General features: G+C 46.3%; 1 protein-coding gene across 8 annotated transcripts in view; it reads left to right on the top strand.

Annotated features, from left to right (window-relative positions):
* The window catches only part of LUC7L (LUC7 like), a 40,460-nt gene that overhangs the window by 7,704 nt on the left and 14,170 nt on the right, over nucleotides 1-18,586 (top strand). For 6 of the 8 annotated variants that reach the window (NM_201412.3, NM_001320226.2, NM_018032.5 and 3 more), the window contains 3 exons: nucleotides 999-1,097; nucleotides 13,558-13,668; nucleotides 15,599-15,742. In NM_201412.3, the coding sequence (NP_958815.1) occupies nucleotides 999-1,097; nucleotides 13,558-13,668; nucleotides 15,599-15,742 (354 nt within the window). Of the gene's footprint in view, nucleotides 1-998; nucleotides 1,098-13,081; nucleotides 13,146-13,557; nucleotides 13,669-15,598; nucleotides 15,743-18,586 lie in introns of those variants that run through there. The other 2 variants (XM_017023438.3, XM_011522561.3) reach the window with 2 other exon arrangements.

Genomic DNA, 18,586 nt, shown 5'->3' with positions numbered 1-18,586 from the left:
GAGACTGTTTTCTGGCCCTTTCCTTTTTTTTTTCCCCTTTTCTGAGACAGAGTCTCACTTTATCACCCAGGCTGGAGTGCAGTGGCACAGTCTTGGCTCACTGCAAACTCCACCTCCTGGGTTCAAGCGATTCTTGTGTCTCAGCTCCCCAGGTAGCTGGGATTACAGGTGCCCTGCCACCACACCTGGCTAATTTTTGTAGTTTTAGTGGAGACTGGGTTTTATCATGTTGGGCAGGCTGGCCTTGAACTCCTGACCTCAAGTGATCCGCCTGCCTCACCCTCCCAAAGTGCTGGGATTACAGGCGTGAGCCACCACGCCCAGCCCTGGCCGTTTCCTATCCCTGCCACCCCACATGCTGCCATTTACTGAATCCTTGGACTGATGCATAAATAAAACTGGGCCAGGCACCGTGGCTCACACCTGTAATGCCAGCTCTTTGGGAGGCCAAGGTGGGTGTATCACTTGAGGTCAGAGGTTCAAGACCAGCCTGGCCAACGTGGCGAAACCCTGTCCCTACTGAAAATACAAAAAAAAAAAAAAAAAAAAAAAAAAAAAATTAGCTGGGTGTGGTATCACGTGCCTGTAATCCCAGCTACTTGGGAGAATGAGGCAGGAGAATTGCCTGAACCCCGGAGGCAGAGGTTACAGTAAGCTGAGGTCGCGCCACTGTACTCCAGCCTGGGTGACAGGTGAGACTCCTTAAAAACTGGCAAAAGCCAATTAATGTAGTTGTGATGATTACAGTCCAATTATCTCTGGGTCTAAAATAGAAACTTTACACTATTAAATGCATCAGTTTCAAGTATCACGTAGTCACGATGGTAAAAGTGAAATGAGGCTTCTCAGCCATATCTCCTTTCTTAATTTTCTTATTGCAGTGTCAGTGTTCCAAAAGTGATCATTTCTGTTGGTGACAGTTGAAACACCAAGTCGCGTTGTGTGCTTTCTACAGTAGGTAGGCACTGAGGTCTGCATTTTCTGTTTCTTTCCCACAGCGCATGGATTTAGGAGAATGTACCAAAATCCACGACTTGGCCCTCCGAGCAGATTATGAGATTGCAAGTAAAGAAAGAGACCTGTTTTTTGAATTAGATGTAAGTTTTATTTAATGTTGATTTATTCCTACTGCGAAGAACCCAATATTGAACTAACAAGAAAAATGTAACATACGTAAGTTATGAAGCAAAATAATAAGGTAGTTGCTTGTTATCCTGCCACTCAAGCTCAGAGCTAGAATACAGCCAGTACTGTTTATATGTTGTGTCCAGCGTCCTGTCAGTGTCCTAAATGATAATATGTGTTATCTCATTTTGTTGCTTTTAAAAATTTTAATTACATTTTTATGAGTCCTTGAACAGTGTTTATTTTTGCTTAGTTTTGAATGGTTTCATAGTGTAGAGTCTTTAAAATTAGATTTTTTTGGTTCAGTATCATGTTTCTGTTTGCCCAGGTTGTTGCATATAGTTTTCATTGCTGCTTGAATAATTCTCAAACGATCTTTGCTTTATTCATAGACATTTAGATTGATTCTAGTTTTGCTACTGCAGACAATATGAATATTTTTGCATAACTTCCTTGTCACGTGGATAAGGATTTATTTTGGGTATATTCCTAGGAGAGGGATTGCTGGTTTATAGGAGATACCCGTATTTATCCTCGCAAGACAATTTTGTAATGTTGTCTTCTTGTTTCTATTTGGTAAAGTCCCATAGCAGTGTCTGCACGCTCACCAACACTTTGTATTATCAGACTGTTTAATTTTTGCAGTTTAGTGGTTGTAAAATGGCATTTCTTTCTGATCTCAATTTGCATTTTTTTAGTACTCAGTAGTTGTGTTATTTTATCTACATTAGTAAATTCTTTTTTTTTTTTTGAGACGGAGTTTCACTCTTGTTGCTCAGGCTGGAGAGCAGTAGTGCGATCTTGGCTCACTGCAACCTACTCCTCCCAGGTTCAAGCAATTCTGCCTCAGCCTCCTGAGGAGCTGGGAATACAGGCATGAGCCGCCATGCCCGGCTGATTTTGTATTTTTAGTAGAGATGGTGTTTCTCCATGTTGATCAGGCTGGTCTCGAACTCTCAACGTCAGGTGATCCGCCCGCCTCAGCCTCCCAAAGTGCTGGGATTACAGGTTGAGCCACCGTGCCTAGCTTCTTTTTCTTTTTGATACAGAGTTTCACTCTGTTGCCCAGGCTGGAGTGCAGCAGCATGATTATAGCTGACTGTAAGTGAATTGCTGGGCTCAGGTGATCCTTCTTCCACAGTCTCCTAAATAGCTAGTACTACAGATGCACACGACCATGTCTGGCTAATTATTTATTTAATTTATTTTAATTTTTATTTATTTATTTATTTTGAGACAGAGTCTTGCTCTGTCACCAGGCTAGAGTGCAGTGGCACCATCTTGGCTCATTGCAACCTCCGACTCCCTGGTTCAAGTGATTCTCCTGCCTTAGCCTCCCAAGTAGCTGGGATGACAGGCATGCGCCACCATGCCCAGCTCATTTTTGTATTTTTGGTAGAGATGGGGTTTTACCATGTTGGCCAGGCTGGTCTCGATCTCCTGACCTTGTGATCCGCCTGCCTCGGCCTCCCAAAGTGCTGGGATTACAGCTGTGAGCCACCGCGCCTGTCCTATTTATTTTTGAGACAGGTTCTTGTTCTGTCACCCAGGCTGGAGGGCAGTGGCGTGATGATGGCTTGCTGTAACCTTGACCTCTTCGGCTCAGTGATAGCCCTGCCTCGGATTCCTGAGTAGCTGCGGGTATAGGTGTGTGCCACCACACCCGGCCTTTTTTTTTTTTTTTTTTTTTTTTTTTGAGACAGGGTTTTACTATGTTGCCCAGGCTGGTCTCAAACTTCTGCCCTCAAGTGATCCTGCCACCTTGGCCTCTCACTGGTATTGGGATTTCAGGTGTGAGCCACTATGCCTGGCCAGTAAATTCATTTAGAGTAGCATTTTTCAGCTTTTTTTCGTTGTTGCCCCCAGTGGAGCCTTTTAAGATTCTTTTTTCTGTTTTTTTGAGACAGAGTCTCCCTCTGTTGCCCAAGCTGGAATGCAGTGGCGCAATCTTGGCTCATTGCAACCTCCGCCTCCTGGGTTTAAGCAATTCTCCTGCCTCAGCCTCCCAAGTAGCTGAGATTAGAAGTGCCCGCCACCACACCCAGCTGATTTTTGTATTTTTAGTAGAGATGTGGTTTCGCCATGTTGGCCAGGCTCATCTTGAACTCTTGACCTCAGGTGATCCACCCACCTCACTCTCCCAAAGTGCTGGGTTTACAGGTGTGATTACACTGTGCCTGGTAAGAATACATGATTTAAACTCACTCAATTTTAATTGTTTTTTAATCCCTAATCACCCATCGCTAGTATGACCAGAGGTTAGTAGAGGGGTTTGATGCCATTCTGGTTCTTGAGTGAAGACCGGGAAGGCACTGAGCATGGGATGAGGGAGCCAGTGAAAAATATAAAACCCAAGGGAAAGGGTCCCTCCGCTTGCATTACAAGATGTCAATACGTTTTACAGTAAATTCTTCCTTTTTTTTTTTTGAGACGGAGTGTCACTGTTGTTGCCTCGGCTGGAGTGCCGTGGCATGATCTTAGCTCACTGTAACCTCCACCTCCTGGGTTCAAGCGATTCTCCTACCTCAGCCTCCTGAGTAGCTGGGATTACAGGTGCCTGCCACCATGCCTGGCTAATTTTTTTTTTTTTTTTTGGAGATATAGTTTTGCTCTTGTCGCCCAGGCTGTAGTACAGTGGCATGATCTCGGCTCACTGCAACCTCCTTCTCTTCTCATGCCTCAGCCTCCCAAGTAGCTGTGATTACAGGCACCCGCCACCACGCCCAGCTAATTTTTATATTTTTAGTAGAGATGAGGTTTCACCATTTTGGTCAGGCTGGTCTCAAACTCCTGACCTCAGGTGATCCACCTGCCTTGGCCTCCCAAAGTGTTGTGATTATAGGCGTGAGCCACTGCACCTGGCCTCAAGTAAATTCTGTTTATTTATTTAAAAAAAAAATTTTTTTTTTTTTTGAAACAGAGTCTCACTCTTGTTGCCCAGGCTGTAGTGCAGTGGTGTGATCTCGGCCCACTGCAACCTCTGCCTCCTGGTTTCAAGCGATTTTCCTGCCTCAGCCTCCTGAGTAGCTGGGATTACAGGTGCACATCGCTACGCCTGGCTGATTTTTGTATTTTTAGTAGAGACGGGGTTTTGTCATGTTGGCCAGGCTGGTCTTAAACTCCTGACCGCAGGTGATCCACCCGCCTTAGCCTCCCAGAGTGTTGAGATTACAGGCGTGAGCCACTGCGCCCAGCCTATTTAAAAAATTTGTTGTGGCTACATAATAGGTGTATATATTTGGGGGGTACCTGAGATGTTTCATTTGACACAGGAATGCAATTCTCAATAAAGAATAAATTCCTGGACCGTGTGCAGTGGCTTACAGCTGTAATTCCAGCAATTTGGGAGGCTGAGGTGGGTGGATCACCTGAGGTCGGGAGTTGAAGACTAGCCTGGCCAACATGGTGAAACGCTGCCTCTTCTAAAAATACAAAAATTAGCTGGGCATGGTGGTGCTGTCCTCTAATCCCAACTACTCGGGAGACTGAGGCAGGAGAATGGCTTGAACCCAGTTGGTGAAGGTTGCAGTGTGCTGAGATCACACCATTGCACTTTATTCTACTTGGGTGACAGAGCGAAACTCTGTCTCAAAAAAAAAAATTCTATTTAAAATAGTGGCCTTGGCCAGGCATGTGGTGGCTCACGCCTGTAATCTCAACACTTTGGGAGGCTGAGGCAGGAGGATTGCTTGAGCCCGGGAGTTCAAGACCAGCCTGGGCAACATGGGGAAACCCCGTCTCTACAAAAAAATGCCAGAGTTAGCCAGGCGTGGTGGCATGTGCCTTGAGAGAATGGGTTAGAGAGCTAGAACAGGTCAGAGACCTTTTTGTCCTATGTGAAAATGTACAATATACAAGAGTTACTCCCTGAAAACTACCCGCATCTCCCACTCCCTAAAAGTCATTTTTGACCTTACAGGGGGCTCATATTAAAATAATTAGGTCAGGCGAGGTGGCTTATGCCTGTAATCTCAGCACTTCGGGAGGCCGAGGCGGGCAGATCACGAGTTCAGGAGTTCAACACCAGCCTGGCCAAATAGTACAACACCGTGTCTACCGAAAATACAAAAATCAGCCGGTCATGGTGGTGGGCACCTGTAGTCCCAGCTACTTGGGAGGCTGAGGCAGGAGAATCACTGGAACCCAGGAGGCGGAGGTTTCAATGAGCCGACATTGTGCCACTGCACTCCAGCCTGGACAACCGAGCGAGACTCCGTCTCAAAAAAAAAAAAAAAAAAAACAACTATTTGATAACCAGTGTTTATAAGCATGTGGAAAAGAAAAAGGTCCTCCTCACTCAAAGAATTAGAGTAAACAAGGGCCGGGCCCTGTGGCTCACACCTCTTACCCAAGCACTTTGGGAGGCTGAGGCGGGCAGATCACCTGAGGTCGGGAGTTCGAGACCAGCCTGACCATCATGGAGAAACCCCCATCTCTATTAAAAATTGAAAATTAGCCGGGCGTGGTGCTGGGCACCTATAATCCCAGCTACTCGGGAGGCTGAGGCAGGAGAATCACTTGAACCTGGGAGGCAGAGGTTGCAGTGAGCCAAGATCGTGCCATTGCACTGTAGCCTGGGCAACAAGAGCGAAATCCCATCTCAAAAAAAAAACAGTAAACCGGGCTGGGCAGGCAAGGGGGCTTCTGCTTGTAATCCTGTCACTTTTGGAGGCCAAAAGTGAAGGATCACTTGAGCCCAGGAGTTTTTGCCTGAAGAACATGTTTCTAGAAAAAAAATAGAAAATTAGCTGGGTGTGGTGGAGCAGCAGTGTTGTGGGAGAGTGATCTGTCAAGACACTGTCGATGTTTTTTTTTTTTTTGAGACAGTGTCTCACTCTCGTCCAGGCTGGAGTACAGTGGCATGATCTCGGCTCACTGCCATCTCTGCCTTCCCGGTTCAAGCAATTTTCCCACCGCAGCCTCCTGAGTAGCTGGGACTACAGGTGCATGTCACCACACCTGGCCAATTTTCTGTATTTTCTTTTTTTTTTTTTTTTGAGACGGAGTTTTGCTTTTGTCGCCCAGGCTGGAGTGCAATGGCGCGATGATCTCGGCTCACTGCAACCTCCGCCTGCCGGGTTCAAGCAACTCTCCTACCTCAGCCTCCCAAGTAGCTGGGATTGCAGGCACGCGCCACCATGCCTGGCTAATTTTTTGTATTTTTAGTAGAGACGGGGTTTTACAATACTGGTCAGGCTGGTCTCAAACTCCTGACCTTGTGATCCATTCGCCTCGGCCTCCCAAAGTGCTGGGATTACAGGTGTGAGCCACCGCGCCCGGCCCAATTTTTTGTATTTTCAGTAGGCAGGGTTTCACCATGTTAGCGAGGATGGTCTCAAGCTCCTGACCTTGTGATCTGCCCGCCTCACTCTCCCAAAGTGCTGGGATTACAGGCGTGATCCATTGCACCTGGCCTACTGTTGGTGTTTTAAACATTTTTTTCCAGAATTCCACTGTTGGGAATGTGTCTTAAGGATATGTGAAAATGAATGCAGAGAAAAGATGTTTATCGTAACTTATTTTAAGAGGAAAAAAAAGATGTAATACAACTATTGAGATAGGATCTTGTTCTGCCCAGGCTGGATTGCAGTGGCGTGCTCATAGCTCACGGTAGCCTCCAACTCCTGGCCTCAAGCTATTCTCCTACTTCAGTCTTCGAAGTTCTGGGATTACAGTCACAAGCCACCATGCCTGGCCTAAAAGTATCTCTGCCTTGTGACTTATTTCTAGAAATCTCTATCCTAAGAAAGTAATTGGAAATACATGGAAACATGGTTATAGTAAAGATGTTTGTGGGCCAGGTGTAGTGGTCCATGCCTGTAATCCAAGAGCTTTGGGAGACTAGGGTGGGTGGGTCGCATGAGCCCAGTTGGAGACTAGCCTGGGCAAGATGACAAACCCTGTCTGTACACAAAATACCAAAAAAATTAGCCAGACAAGGTGGCCTGCAACTATAGTCCCAGCTACTCGAGGGGCTGAGGCTGGAGGATCAGTTGAGCCCGGAGGATCAAGGCTGAAGTGAGCTGTGCTTGCACCACTGTGCTCCAGCCTGGAGAACAGAACAAGAGTCTGTCTCAGATAAATGAATGAATGGATAAATGATACTTATGACAAAATTGTTTATGAGATTGAAATTTGGATCAAGAAAAATGCCCAAGAAGAGAAATGAGTGAATAAATTATAATGAACCTATATGATAGACTCTGCCCTTCAAACTAATGTTTGTGAAACCTGTCTAATGATTTCAAATTGCTTATGATAGGCAGGGCTCAGTGGCTCACACCTGTAATCCCAGCACTTTGGGAGGCTGAGGTGGGTGGATCATGAGGTCAGGATACCAGCCTGACCAACATGGTGAAACACTGTCTCTACTAAAAATATAAAAATTAGCTGGGTGTGGTGGTGCGCACCTGTAATCCCAGCTACTCAGGAAGCTGAGGCAGGAGAATAGCTTGAACCCAGGAGGCAGAGGTTGCAGTGAGCCGAGATCGTGCCATTGCACTCTAGCCTGGGCGACAGAGCAAGACTCCATTTCAAAAAAAAAACAATTGCTCATGAGAACACAAAACAAAGACACAAAATATAAAGCTGTAACGATTTCAACTCAAGCCAGGCACAGTGGCTCACTCCTGTAATCCCAGCACTTTGGGAGGCTGAGGTGGGCAGATCACAAGATCAGGAGATGGAGACCTTCCTGGCCAAGATAGTGAGACCCCATCTCTACTAAAAATAGAAAATATTAGCCAGGTGTGATGGTGGGCACCTGTAATCCCAGCTACTTTGGAGGGTGAGGCAGGAAAATCGCTTGAACCTGGGAGGCAGAGATTGCGGTGAGCCGAGATTGCGCCACTGCACTCCAGTCCAGGAAACAGTGCGAGACTTGGTCTCAAATAAAGAAAAAAAGAAAAAAGATTTCTGCCGGGTGCGGTGGCTCACGCCTGTAATCTCAGCACTTTGGGAGGCCGAGGCAGACGGATTGCATGAGGTCAGGAGTTCGAGACCAGTCTGACCAACATGGTGATAACCTGTCTCTAATAAAAATACAGAAATAAAATTAGCCAGGTGTTGTGGTGTGCACCTGCAATCCCAGGTACTTGGGAGGCTGAGGCAGGGGAATTGCTTGAGCCTGGGAGGCAGAGGTTGCAGTGAGCTCAGATGTTGCCTCTACACTCCAGCCTGGGTGACAAGATGACGCTGTGTCTCCCTGTCCCCTTCCAAAAAAAAAATTGTGGGCCTTTATTTTCTGCCTGGACCATCACCTTAAGCTTGATGGATGGAACTCCTGGCACATTTCTACCCAGGATCCTCCCAGTACTCAGTTGTTTTACCTGGGAGAAGATACCCTCCCTGTCCTCATCATTGGCTGCTTCCAGCCTGAGTCAGCCTCAGCCTGACCACAAAAGACCCAGGCCTTGATATGTTTTATCTGGAAGTTGCCTAGGAAAGGATGTGTGCTATATTTGTTATAAGGCAGTCTATAAATAAACTAAGTTTCTCAACTTGTAAACTGTCAAACAGCAATATTAATCATATTAAGCTCTGAAAAAGTTACAGATGGCCAGGTGTGCGCTCACGCCTGTAATCCCAGTACTTTGGTGGGAGGCAGAGGCCGGAAGATTGCTTGAGCCCAGGAATTCGAGACCAGCCTGGGCAAAGTCTCTACAAAATCAGAAATGTTAGCTGGGTGTAGTGACGTGTTCCTATAGTCCTACCTGCTTTGGAGGCTGAGGTGGAAGGATGGTTTGAACCTGAGAGGTCAACGCTAAAGTGAGCCGTGATCGTGCCACTGTATTCTAGCCTGGGTGACAGAGCAAGATCCTCTCGGGAAAAAAAAAAAAGGTATATTTCTTTAGTGTTCACATGTTGAAAATGTAATGAATGTGTCTTTGTAATTCACCAAAAGTGTAATTAACCTTTACTCCCATGTTGTCTGGCCATGTGATGTTTTGAAAAGTTTTCAAAACAACATATATGGGCTCATTTCAAAGCTGTTTTTAATATACCACATGAGACCAGTTCTGATTGTATGTAGTTTTCCTGTCTTACAGTTGTCCAGTATAAGAGTGACATTTTTCTAGGTCAAATGTCTTGAGTTAGAGTCCCTGTGTGACCCTGGGCAAGTTATTTCACCTTCTTTTTTTCATCTATAAACTGGGCTGACGATGGCTGCCTCAGATTTGTGAGGATGAAGTGCAGGTCTTTGGAGCCAGACCACAAGGGTCCTTGGATCCTGACTCCATTGCTTACTTAGTGGTTTGGTAGCTGTGCTTCACTTTCATCATCCATGCAATGGAGACCCGACGAGCTCCTCTGCGGCTGTGTTTTTTGAGATGGAGTTTCGCTCTTGTTGCCCAGGTTGGAGTGCAATGGCACGATCTCAGCTCACTGCAACCTCCGCCTCCCGAGTTCAAGTGATTCTCCTGCCTCAGCCTCCTGAGTAGTTGGGATTACAGGCATGCACCACCACGCCTGGGTAATTTTGTATTTTTAGTAGAGATGGGGTTTCTCCTTGTTGGTCAGGCTGATCTCAAACTCCTGACCTCAGGTGATCCACCCACCTCAGCCTCCCAAAGTGCTAGGATTACAGGCGTGAGCCACCGCGCCCGGCCCCTCTGCGGCTCTTTGGAGGTGTTTAGCGCACGTGCCTAGTGCAGCACAAGGGCACCTGTCTGCTGTGACAGTTCTGACTGACATCATGGGCTTTTCTCAGGCTCAGTGACCACCGGCCTGTGTCAGTGCTGCTGGGCCGGGAGAGCTGGTAACAGCACCAGGCAGTCCGTGTGTGGAGGGACAGCCTCCTCAGTGGAGATGACGTGTGCTGATATTGTCCAGTTTTGCCATACTGTTAGGACACAAGTCTTTGTGCTGGTGCTGTCTGTGCTCAGGGGCTTTTAGGGTTTATGTTTCATAACGCTACTCAGAGATAGAGAGAGATTGGGTGACTTTCTAGTAAGTGGTAGGTTGTGATTAGGACTTAATTTTTGGAATCGAATGTCTTTTTTTTATCATTTAGATCTGCTCTTTTAAGAAACAGGCTAAAGTTGAGAAACACTTTGAAGGGAGAGGGCAGTAGAACAGAAAGCCACCTTTTAAAGAACTTGGCAGCTCTTGGTTGGCTTGTTCTCTGTTGTGAAGTTTACCATTTATAGTTGTTGTTTTCTGTTTGAGCCAGTCTTGCTCTGTCGCCCAGGCTGGAGTGCAGTGGCGTGATCTTGGCTCACTGCAACCTCCGCCTCCCAGGTTCAAGCGATTCTCCTGCCTCAGCCTCCCTTGTAGCTGGGATTCACCTCGTAAGGCGAATTAACCTTAGCATATGATAGTTCTTTTAGTGTTTCCCACCACCCTTTTCAGAGTAAGCAATTAGACGTCTAGAGTTTCTTTTCCTCTATCTCTTTGGGTAAATAGCAACCAGTGGTGCCCGCCACCACGCCTGGCTAATTTTTTGTATTTTTAGTAGAGATGGGGTTTCACCATACTGGCCAGGCTGGTCTCAGACTCCCAAAGTGTTGGGATTACAGGCGTGAGCCACCGTGCTGGGCCTACCATTTAGTGTTCTTTTTTTTTTTTTGAGACGGAGTGTTGCCCTGTCACCCAGGCTGGAGTGCAGTGGCACACAGTCTCTGCTCACTGCAAGCTCTACCTCCCGGGTTCATGCCATTGTCCTGCCTCAGCCTCCCGGGTACCTGGGACTATAGGCGCCCGCCACCACGCCCGGCTAATTTTTTGTATTTTTAGTAGAGACGGGGTTTCACTGTGTTAGCCAGGGTGGTCTCGATCTCCTGACCCCGTGATCCGCCCACCTCAGCCTCCCAAAGTGCTGGGATTACAGGCGTGAGCCACCACGCCCGGCCACCATTTAGTTTTTAGGTTATCAGACATCTGAGTCCATAGCCAATTTGGATTCTGCTTAAGGTGCAGGTAATTGCTTTGATGGGTTTAGGTATTGGGAGAGTTGTCAGCTGCCTATTTCCCATTTGACCCCTCGAGTGAATCCCTGAATCTGTCTCAGGTTGGTGATTGATTGCTCAGCTTGAGCAGACAGTACAGGGCCACTGTGTGGGTGAACCTGGAGCATCTCAGACTGGTCTGTTAGGGGCTGTTGTCTGAGGTAAGCACAGAAGAGAAGGCACAGTGACCCTTGTCAGCTCCTTAATACTTGGATCCTGATGAGCTCCAGCCAGCTCTTCACCTTTCCAGAAAGTCCAGTGTACAGGTGCATAGAAGCAGTCAAATGCCGGATCATTTGTTTTCCTGATTCTTTGATTTGAACATACTGAAATGTTGACTAGAGAATATCTGGGTGACCAACAAGAAGCAGTTTATGTATTTTTTTGAGAGGGAGTCTCGCTCTTGTTGCCCAGGCTGGAGTGCAATGGCGCGATCTCAGTTCACTGCAACCTCTGCTTCCCAGGTTCAAGCAGTTCTCCTGCCTCAGCCTCCGAAGTAGCTGGGATTACAGGCATGCACCACCACTCGTGGCTAATTTTGTATTTTTAGTAGAGATGGGGTTTCTCCATGTTGGTCAAGCTGGTCTCGAACTCCTGACCTCAAGTGATCCACCCGCCTTGGCCTCCCAAAGTGCTGGGATTACAGGCGTGAGCTACCACGCCTGGCCAAGAGGCAGTTTTTGAATTCCAAAATTATGGAGTGATATCTGGGAGTCAGCCTTCATCAGTGATGCTGCTTGTGCTTTCTCCAGCTTCTTGGGAGACTGGGCACCAGGAGACTTGGAGGTTCTTCCCTATCTTACCTACTCCCAAGTATGCATGTTTTTGAAAAAAATATTTAAGATTTCTAGAGAAGATCACAATCTTCTCCAGTGTCTGTGTAATCCATTGTGGAGCAGTTTATTACAGCTGACCTACTGTCTCCTGTCTGTTTTAGGAGCGGTGACTTAGGTTATCACCCCTTAGTGTTTTCCTGTCATCTGCCTTCTCATCTCCACCTAAAATTTAGTTTTTGGTAAAAGATCATGCTATCTAACCTTGTCATCATTGCAAAACAAACTTATTTATGTTTATCATGATGCTGACATTAGCAAGCTGACTCATGGTTTAATGTTAGTGTTTCTTACTACTGGTCACTGGCTGACAGTCGGAAAAGTGATGCCCTATTTTTTTTTTTTTTTTTTGAGATGGAATCTTGCTCTGTTGCCCAGGCTGGAGTGCAGTGGTGCCATCTCGGCTCACTGCAACCTCTTCCTCCCAGGTTCAAGCGATTCTTCTGCCTCAGTCTCCTGAGTAGCTGGAACTACAGGTGCATGCTACCACGCCCAGCTAATTTTTATGTTTTTAGTAGAGATGGGGCTTCACTGTATTGGGAAGGCTGGTCTTGAACCTCTGACCTCATGGATCCTCCCGCCTCGGCCTCCCAAAGTGCAGGGATTACAGGTGTGAGCCACTGGGCCCTGCCTTTTTTTGTTTTTGTTTTTGTTTTTGATACGGAGTCTTGCTCTGTTGCCTAGGCTGGAGTGTGGTGGTCTGGTCTCAGTTCACTACAACTTCTGCCTCCGAGGCTCAAGCGATTCTCCTGCCTCAGCCACCTGAGTAGCTGGGATTACAGGCACCCGCTATCATGCCCAGCTAATTTTTGTATTTTTATTAGAGACCATGTTGGCTAGACTGGTCTTGAACTCCTGACCTCATGATCCGCCCACCTTGGCCTCACAAAGTGCTGGGATTACAGGTGTGAGCCACTGCGTCCGGTCCTGTCTCTGTTTTTATCTGAAATTATGTTAGCCTTTGCCTAGTTATGGTGAATTAACCTTAGCATATGATAGTTCTCTTAATGTTTCCCACCACCCTTTTCAGAGTAAGCAATTTGACGTCTACAGCTTCTTTTCCTTTATCTCTTTGGGTAAATAGCAACCAATTTTTCCTGCTACTTTAGATAGTAGGCAATAACAAAATGTATTCATAGCTCTCAGTAATATTTGTTCTATTGTTTTGTTTTTGAGGTGAAAGGGGGGACCCTACCCTCAGAACATGAGGGAATAATATTTACGTGGCTCACAAAGACCAGTGAGTACATCATATGCATCTCTCACAACTCCCCAGAAGAGGGCCTCCAGCACGAGTCTAGGCTCAGCCTTTTCTGTCCCTCCGAGAACTCTATGAATTGCTGCCAAGTGTTTTAATTTTCCTCAGAATTTCTTTGTAATGTTATTGAGGGTTGGAGGTCCTTTTACAAATTTTGGAAATAAGTAAATCAAATGAGAAGACCATGCTTCCAAACAATCATTCTGTTTAACAGATCCCCTTGATTTAATGCAATTATGAATGCGTTAGTGGTAGTGTAGTTTAAGATCTTTCCCTTGAATGTACAGGCTTTAAAGAAACGAACCTAGGAGTGTATTTCCTATCAAGCAAATGGGTTCTAAGACTTTACGCTTTACACATCATTGATTATAGCGCTGTGCTTTTCCCGTGCTAGGCAATGGATCACTTGGAGTCCTTTATTGCTGAATGTGATCGGAGAACTGAGCTCGCCAAGAAGCGGCTGGCAGAAACACAGGAGGAAATCAGTGCGGAAGTTTCTGCAAAGGTATGCTTGGGTGGCTTCGGTGTCTGGTGTGTTCTTAAAAATACTGGCTTGTCAATAGCTTTTTTTTTTGAGATGGAGTCTCCCTCTGTCACCCAGGCTGGAGTGCAGTGGCATGATCTCAGCTCAGTGCAAGCTCCGCCTCCCGGGTTCATGCCATTCTCCTGCCTCAGCCTCCCGAGTAGCTGGGACTGCAGACGCCCGCCACCATGCCCGGCTAATTTTTTGTATTTTTAGTAGAGACGGGGTTTCACCGTGTTAGCCGGTATGGTCTTGATCTCCTGACCTCGTGATCTGCCTGCCTCAGCCTCCCAAAGTGCTGGGATTACAGGCGTGAGCCACCGCGCCCGGCGTTGTCAATAGCTATTAACTGACCCTCAGCACTGATTGTGTGGACAGTACTCTCTGCCTTACTCCAGTTAAGGATAGAGGGCTGTGATCAAGCATTCATGTGTCATGGAATTCTCATCCCTCAGGAGCTGCTACCTCTGTCTTTTTATTCTCTCCATTTTCGTCCTCTGTACATGGTTTATCATTATTTTTTAATTTTAATATATTCTTCGCTGAGTTTGGTGGCTTATGCTTGTAGTCCCAGCACTTTGGGACACCAAGGTGGGGGCAGACTGCTTGAGCCCAGGAGTTTTAGACCTGAGCAACATGAAGAAACCCCATCTCTACAAAAAATACATATATTAGCCAGGCTTGGTGGTGCACATGTGTATCCCAGTTACTCAGGAGGCTGAGGTGGGAGGATCACTTGAGCTTGGGGAGATTGAGGCTTCAATGAGCTGTGATCATGCTACTTTGCTTCAGCCTGGATAACAGAGTGAGACCCTGCCTCAAAAGAAAAAAAAATTATTGTCGGTTTTTTTTTTTTTTTAAGAGACAGAGTCTTGTTCTGTCGCCCAGGCTGGAGGGCAGTGGCGTGATCTCGACTCACTGCAAGCTCCGCCTCCTGGGTTTACGCCATTCTCCTGCCTCAGCCTCCTGAGTAGCTGGGACTACAGGTGCCCACCACCACGCCCAGCTAATTTTTTGTATTTTTAGTAGAGACGGGGTTTCACTGTGTTAGCCAGGATGGTCTCGATCTCTTGACCTCGTGATCTGCCCGCCTCGTTTTCCCAAAGTACTGGGATTACAGGCATGAGCCACTGCACCCAGCCATCTTTTTTTTTTTTTTTTTTTTTTTTAATAAAGATGGAGTCTGTTGCCCAAGCTGGTCTGGAACTCTTGGGCTTAAGCAATCCTCCCGCCTTGTCCTCCCGAAGTGCTGGGATTACAGGTGTGAGCCAGCATGCCCAGCCTCTGCATGTTGTTTTAAACTTTAATATCTCCACATAAAACTGGAAAGAATTGGTAAGGAAATGGTCAAACTGTGGTACATCCATATCATAGAATGAAAAGGAGGTAGATTTATATGTAATTAGACTGAGTGCCATTTACATCACTCTTCTGTTTTTCTCTTCAGTGGAACTAAGCCTCTCCTTGTTTTTTCTTTTCAGTGTTGTAAAAGCATTTCTTAGGATTTATGCAATTGCTAATTTGACCAACGGTGCTATTTTGTTTCAGAAGGTAAATCCTAGTAATTAGGTATTTTGGTTACAGCTTAAATCTGTACATTTAAACCTAGGCATTTTATTACCATACCCAGAAGAAAAAGTCATAAAGAGAGACAGCCTAGACAATGACCAATCTGTGATGATCCTTGGAAGCATGTCGGAAGTGACAAAGGTGCCACTGGTTTCATTGGAACATAGGACTCGTTTATGGTTACAGTCTCAATGCTGGCAGTAAGGATGCCTTCATTGTTAAGTGTGGATCTTTAGCTCTTCCACTTATTTTCAGACTGGAAATGGAGCAGGAGAAACCCTTGTTGCCTTTGCATTCACTTTCATTTTCAGATGTCTGCTTACCTCATTCTTTCTCCTCACAGGCAGAAAAAGTACATGAGTTAAATGAAGAAATAGGAAAACTCCTTGCTAAAGCCGAACAGCTAGGGGCTGAAGGTAATGTGGATGAATCCCAGAAGATTCTTATGGAAGTGGAAAAAGTTCGTGCGAAGAAAAAAGAAGCTGAGGTTGGTGAGATAAGTGCCTTAGGGCAAGAGAAATCTTAGTAATTTGGCAGCGTTGACCGTTGGAATTAATTGAGCCCATGCTTGCTCCCATTTTTTAAAAAATTTATACATTTTGGGCCCAGCACAGTGGCTCACGCCTGTCATCCCAGCACTTTGGAAGGCCGAGGCGGGCGGATCACGAGGTCAGGAGATAAGACCATCCTGGCTAACACAGCGAATCCCCGTCTCTACTAAAAATACAAAAAAATTAGCCGGGCATGGCGCCAGGCACCTGTAGTCCCAGCTGCTCCGGAGGCTGAGGAAGGAGAATGGCGTGAACCCGGGAGGCGGAGCTTGCAGTGAGCTGAGATTGCGCCACTGCACTCCAGCCTGGGCGACAGAGCGAGACTCTGTCTCAAAAAAATTTATAAACGCTGTTTTTGCAAGCAGTTTTAGCTTCATAGCTAAATTGAGAGGAAAGTACAGAGATTCTCCATGTACCCTCTCCTCAGACAGCCTCCTCCATTCCTAGCATCTGCCCACAGTCAGTGGGTCTACGTTGACTTGTCATTATCACCCAAAGTCTGCAGAAAATGTTAGGTATGTCATGAATACATAAAATATATGAGGATACTAGTCTTTTATTTACTGCCATAAAATATACACAAGTCTATTATGAAAAGGTAACATTTGTCAAAACTTAAGCATATGGCCAGCTATGGTGGCTCTTGGCTTTAGTCTCAGCTGTTCGGGAGGCTGAGATGAGAGGATCCCTTAATCCTAGGACTTTTGGAGTCCAGCCTGGATAACATAGCAAGACCCTGTCTCTAAAAAAGAAGAGGCTACATGCAAACGCTTACAGACCATACATGACAGCATTCGCCGTAGAGAGATGTTAACAAACGTAGTGCAGAGGTGCAGTATTAAATCAGGGCTGCCTAAGAATAACTGTAATAGGTACTGTACTACTGTAATAATTCATGCCACTTCCTGTTGCCATTGTGTGGAGCTCAAGGGTCGTGAGTATCCCCTTGAAACACCACGTGACACTCATCATCTCCGAAGGAGCAGTTCACCTCTCCAGTACATTCCTACTGCAGTAAAAAGTGAACTCACAGGGTTCCTAGGCGTTTTTCATCGTGTTTAGTGCAATACCATAAACTTTGAGTAATGCCATAGGATCCATATGCCACTAGTGATGCTGAAAATGCTCCCAAGAAGGCAAGAACAGCCATGATATTACAAGAAAAAGTTGAGTTGCTTGATGTATACATTAGATTGAGGTCTGCAGCTGCAGTTGCTACCATTTCAGACGGACAATTCATCTTGTAAATGAGCAGTGTAAACGTACAGAAGTGATCAGTACAGCACAGTACTATAAATGTATTTTATTTTCTCTTCCTTATAATTTTCTCTCTTTTTTTTTTTTTTGAGATGGAGTCTCGCTCTGTCCCCCAGGCTGGAGTGCAGTGGTGCGATCTCAGTTCACTGCAAGCTCCGCTTCCTCGGTTCACACCATTCTCCTGCCTCAGCCTCCAGAGTAGCTGAGACTACAGGCGCCCACCACCACGCCCGGCTAATTTTTTTGTACTTTCAGTAGAGATGGGGTTTCACTGTGTTAGCCAGGATGGTCTCAATCTGACCTCGTGGTCCACCCGCCTCGGTCTCCCAAACTGCTGGGATTACAGGAGTGAGCCACCATGCTCGGCCCATGGCTAATTTTTTTTTTTTTTTTTCATTTCTAGTAGGGATGGGGTTTCACCGTGTTGGCCAAGCTGGTCTCAAACTTCTGACCTCAGGTGATCCGTCTGCCTTGGCCTCCCAAAGTGCTGGGATCACAGGCGTGAGCCACTTCGCCAGGCCATTTGATACCTTTTATGAGTCTTGTAATTTTTCTCATAGTGAAGATCTCATGCATGTTTTGTTAGATTTCTACCTAAATATTTCATGCTTGCGGGTGCTGGTGTAATTGGTCATTTGTTTTTTGGTTTTTGTTTTTGTGTTTTTTTGAGATGGAGTCTCATTCATTCGCCCAGGCTGGAGTGCAGTGGCGTGATCTCGGCTCACTGCAACCTCCGCCTCCCGGGCTCAAGCGATTCTCCTGCCTCAGCCTCCCGAGTAGCTGAGACTATAGGCGTGTGCCACCATACCTGGCTAATTTTTTGTGTTTTTAGTAGAGATATGATTTAACCGTGTTAGCCAGGATGGCCTCTATCTCCTGACCTCATGATCCGCCTGCCTTGGCCTCTCAAAGTGCTGGGATTACAGGTGTGAGCCACCGCGCCCAGCCCTCCCCACCTCCACCCCGCCCCCCGCCCTGAGACGGTCTCACTTTCTCACCCAGGCTGGAGTGCAGTGGCGCGATCTTGGCTCACTGAAGGCTTGATCTCCTGGGCTCATTTGATTCTCCCGCCTCAGCCTTTCAAATAGCTAGGACTGAAGGCACATGCCACCAAGCCCAGCTAATTTTTTGTATTTTTTGGAGAGACTGGGTTTCGCCATGTTGTCAAGGCTGGTCTTGAAATCCTTGGCTCAAGCGATCTGCCTAGCTCTGCTTCCCAAAGTGCTGGGATTAGAGTCATGAGTCACCATGATGCCTGGCCTCTTGTAATACCTTTATCTGGTTTTGGTATTATGGTAATGTCCCCATAGAAGGAGTTAGAAGATACTCTCTCTGCTTCTATTTTCTGAAAGCGATTGTAGAGAATTGGCATGATTTGCTCCCTAATGCTTTGGTAGAATTCACCAGTAAACCCATCTGGACCTGATGCTTTCTGTTTTGGAAGGTTATTAATATACAGATTCATTCAGATCATCTGTTTCTTCTTGTGTGAGTTTTGGCAGATTGTGTCTTTCAACATTATT

This window comes from Homo sapiens, chromosome 16 (assembly GCF_000001405.40).
Source record: "Homo sapiens chromosome 16, GRCh38.p14 Primary Assembly".
NCBI classification, from domain to species: Eukaryota; Metazoa; Chordata; class Mammalia; order Primates; family Hominidae; genus Homo; species Homo sapiens.
Note: the sequence above shows the minus strand (reverse complement) of the source record. Positions and strands in the feature narration are given on the sequence as shown.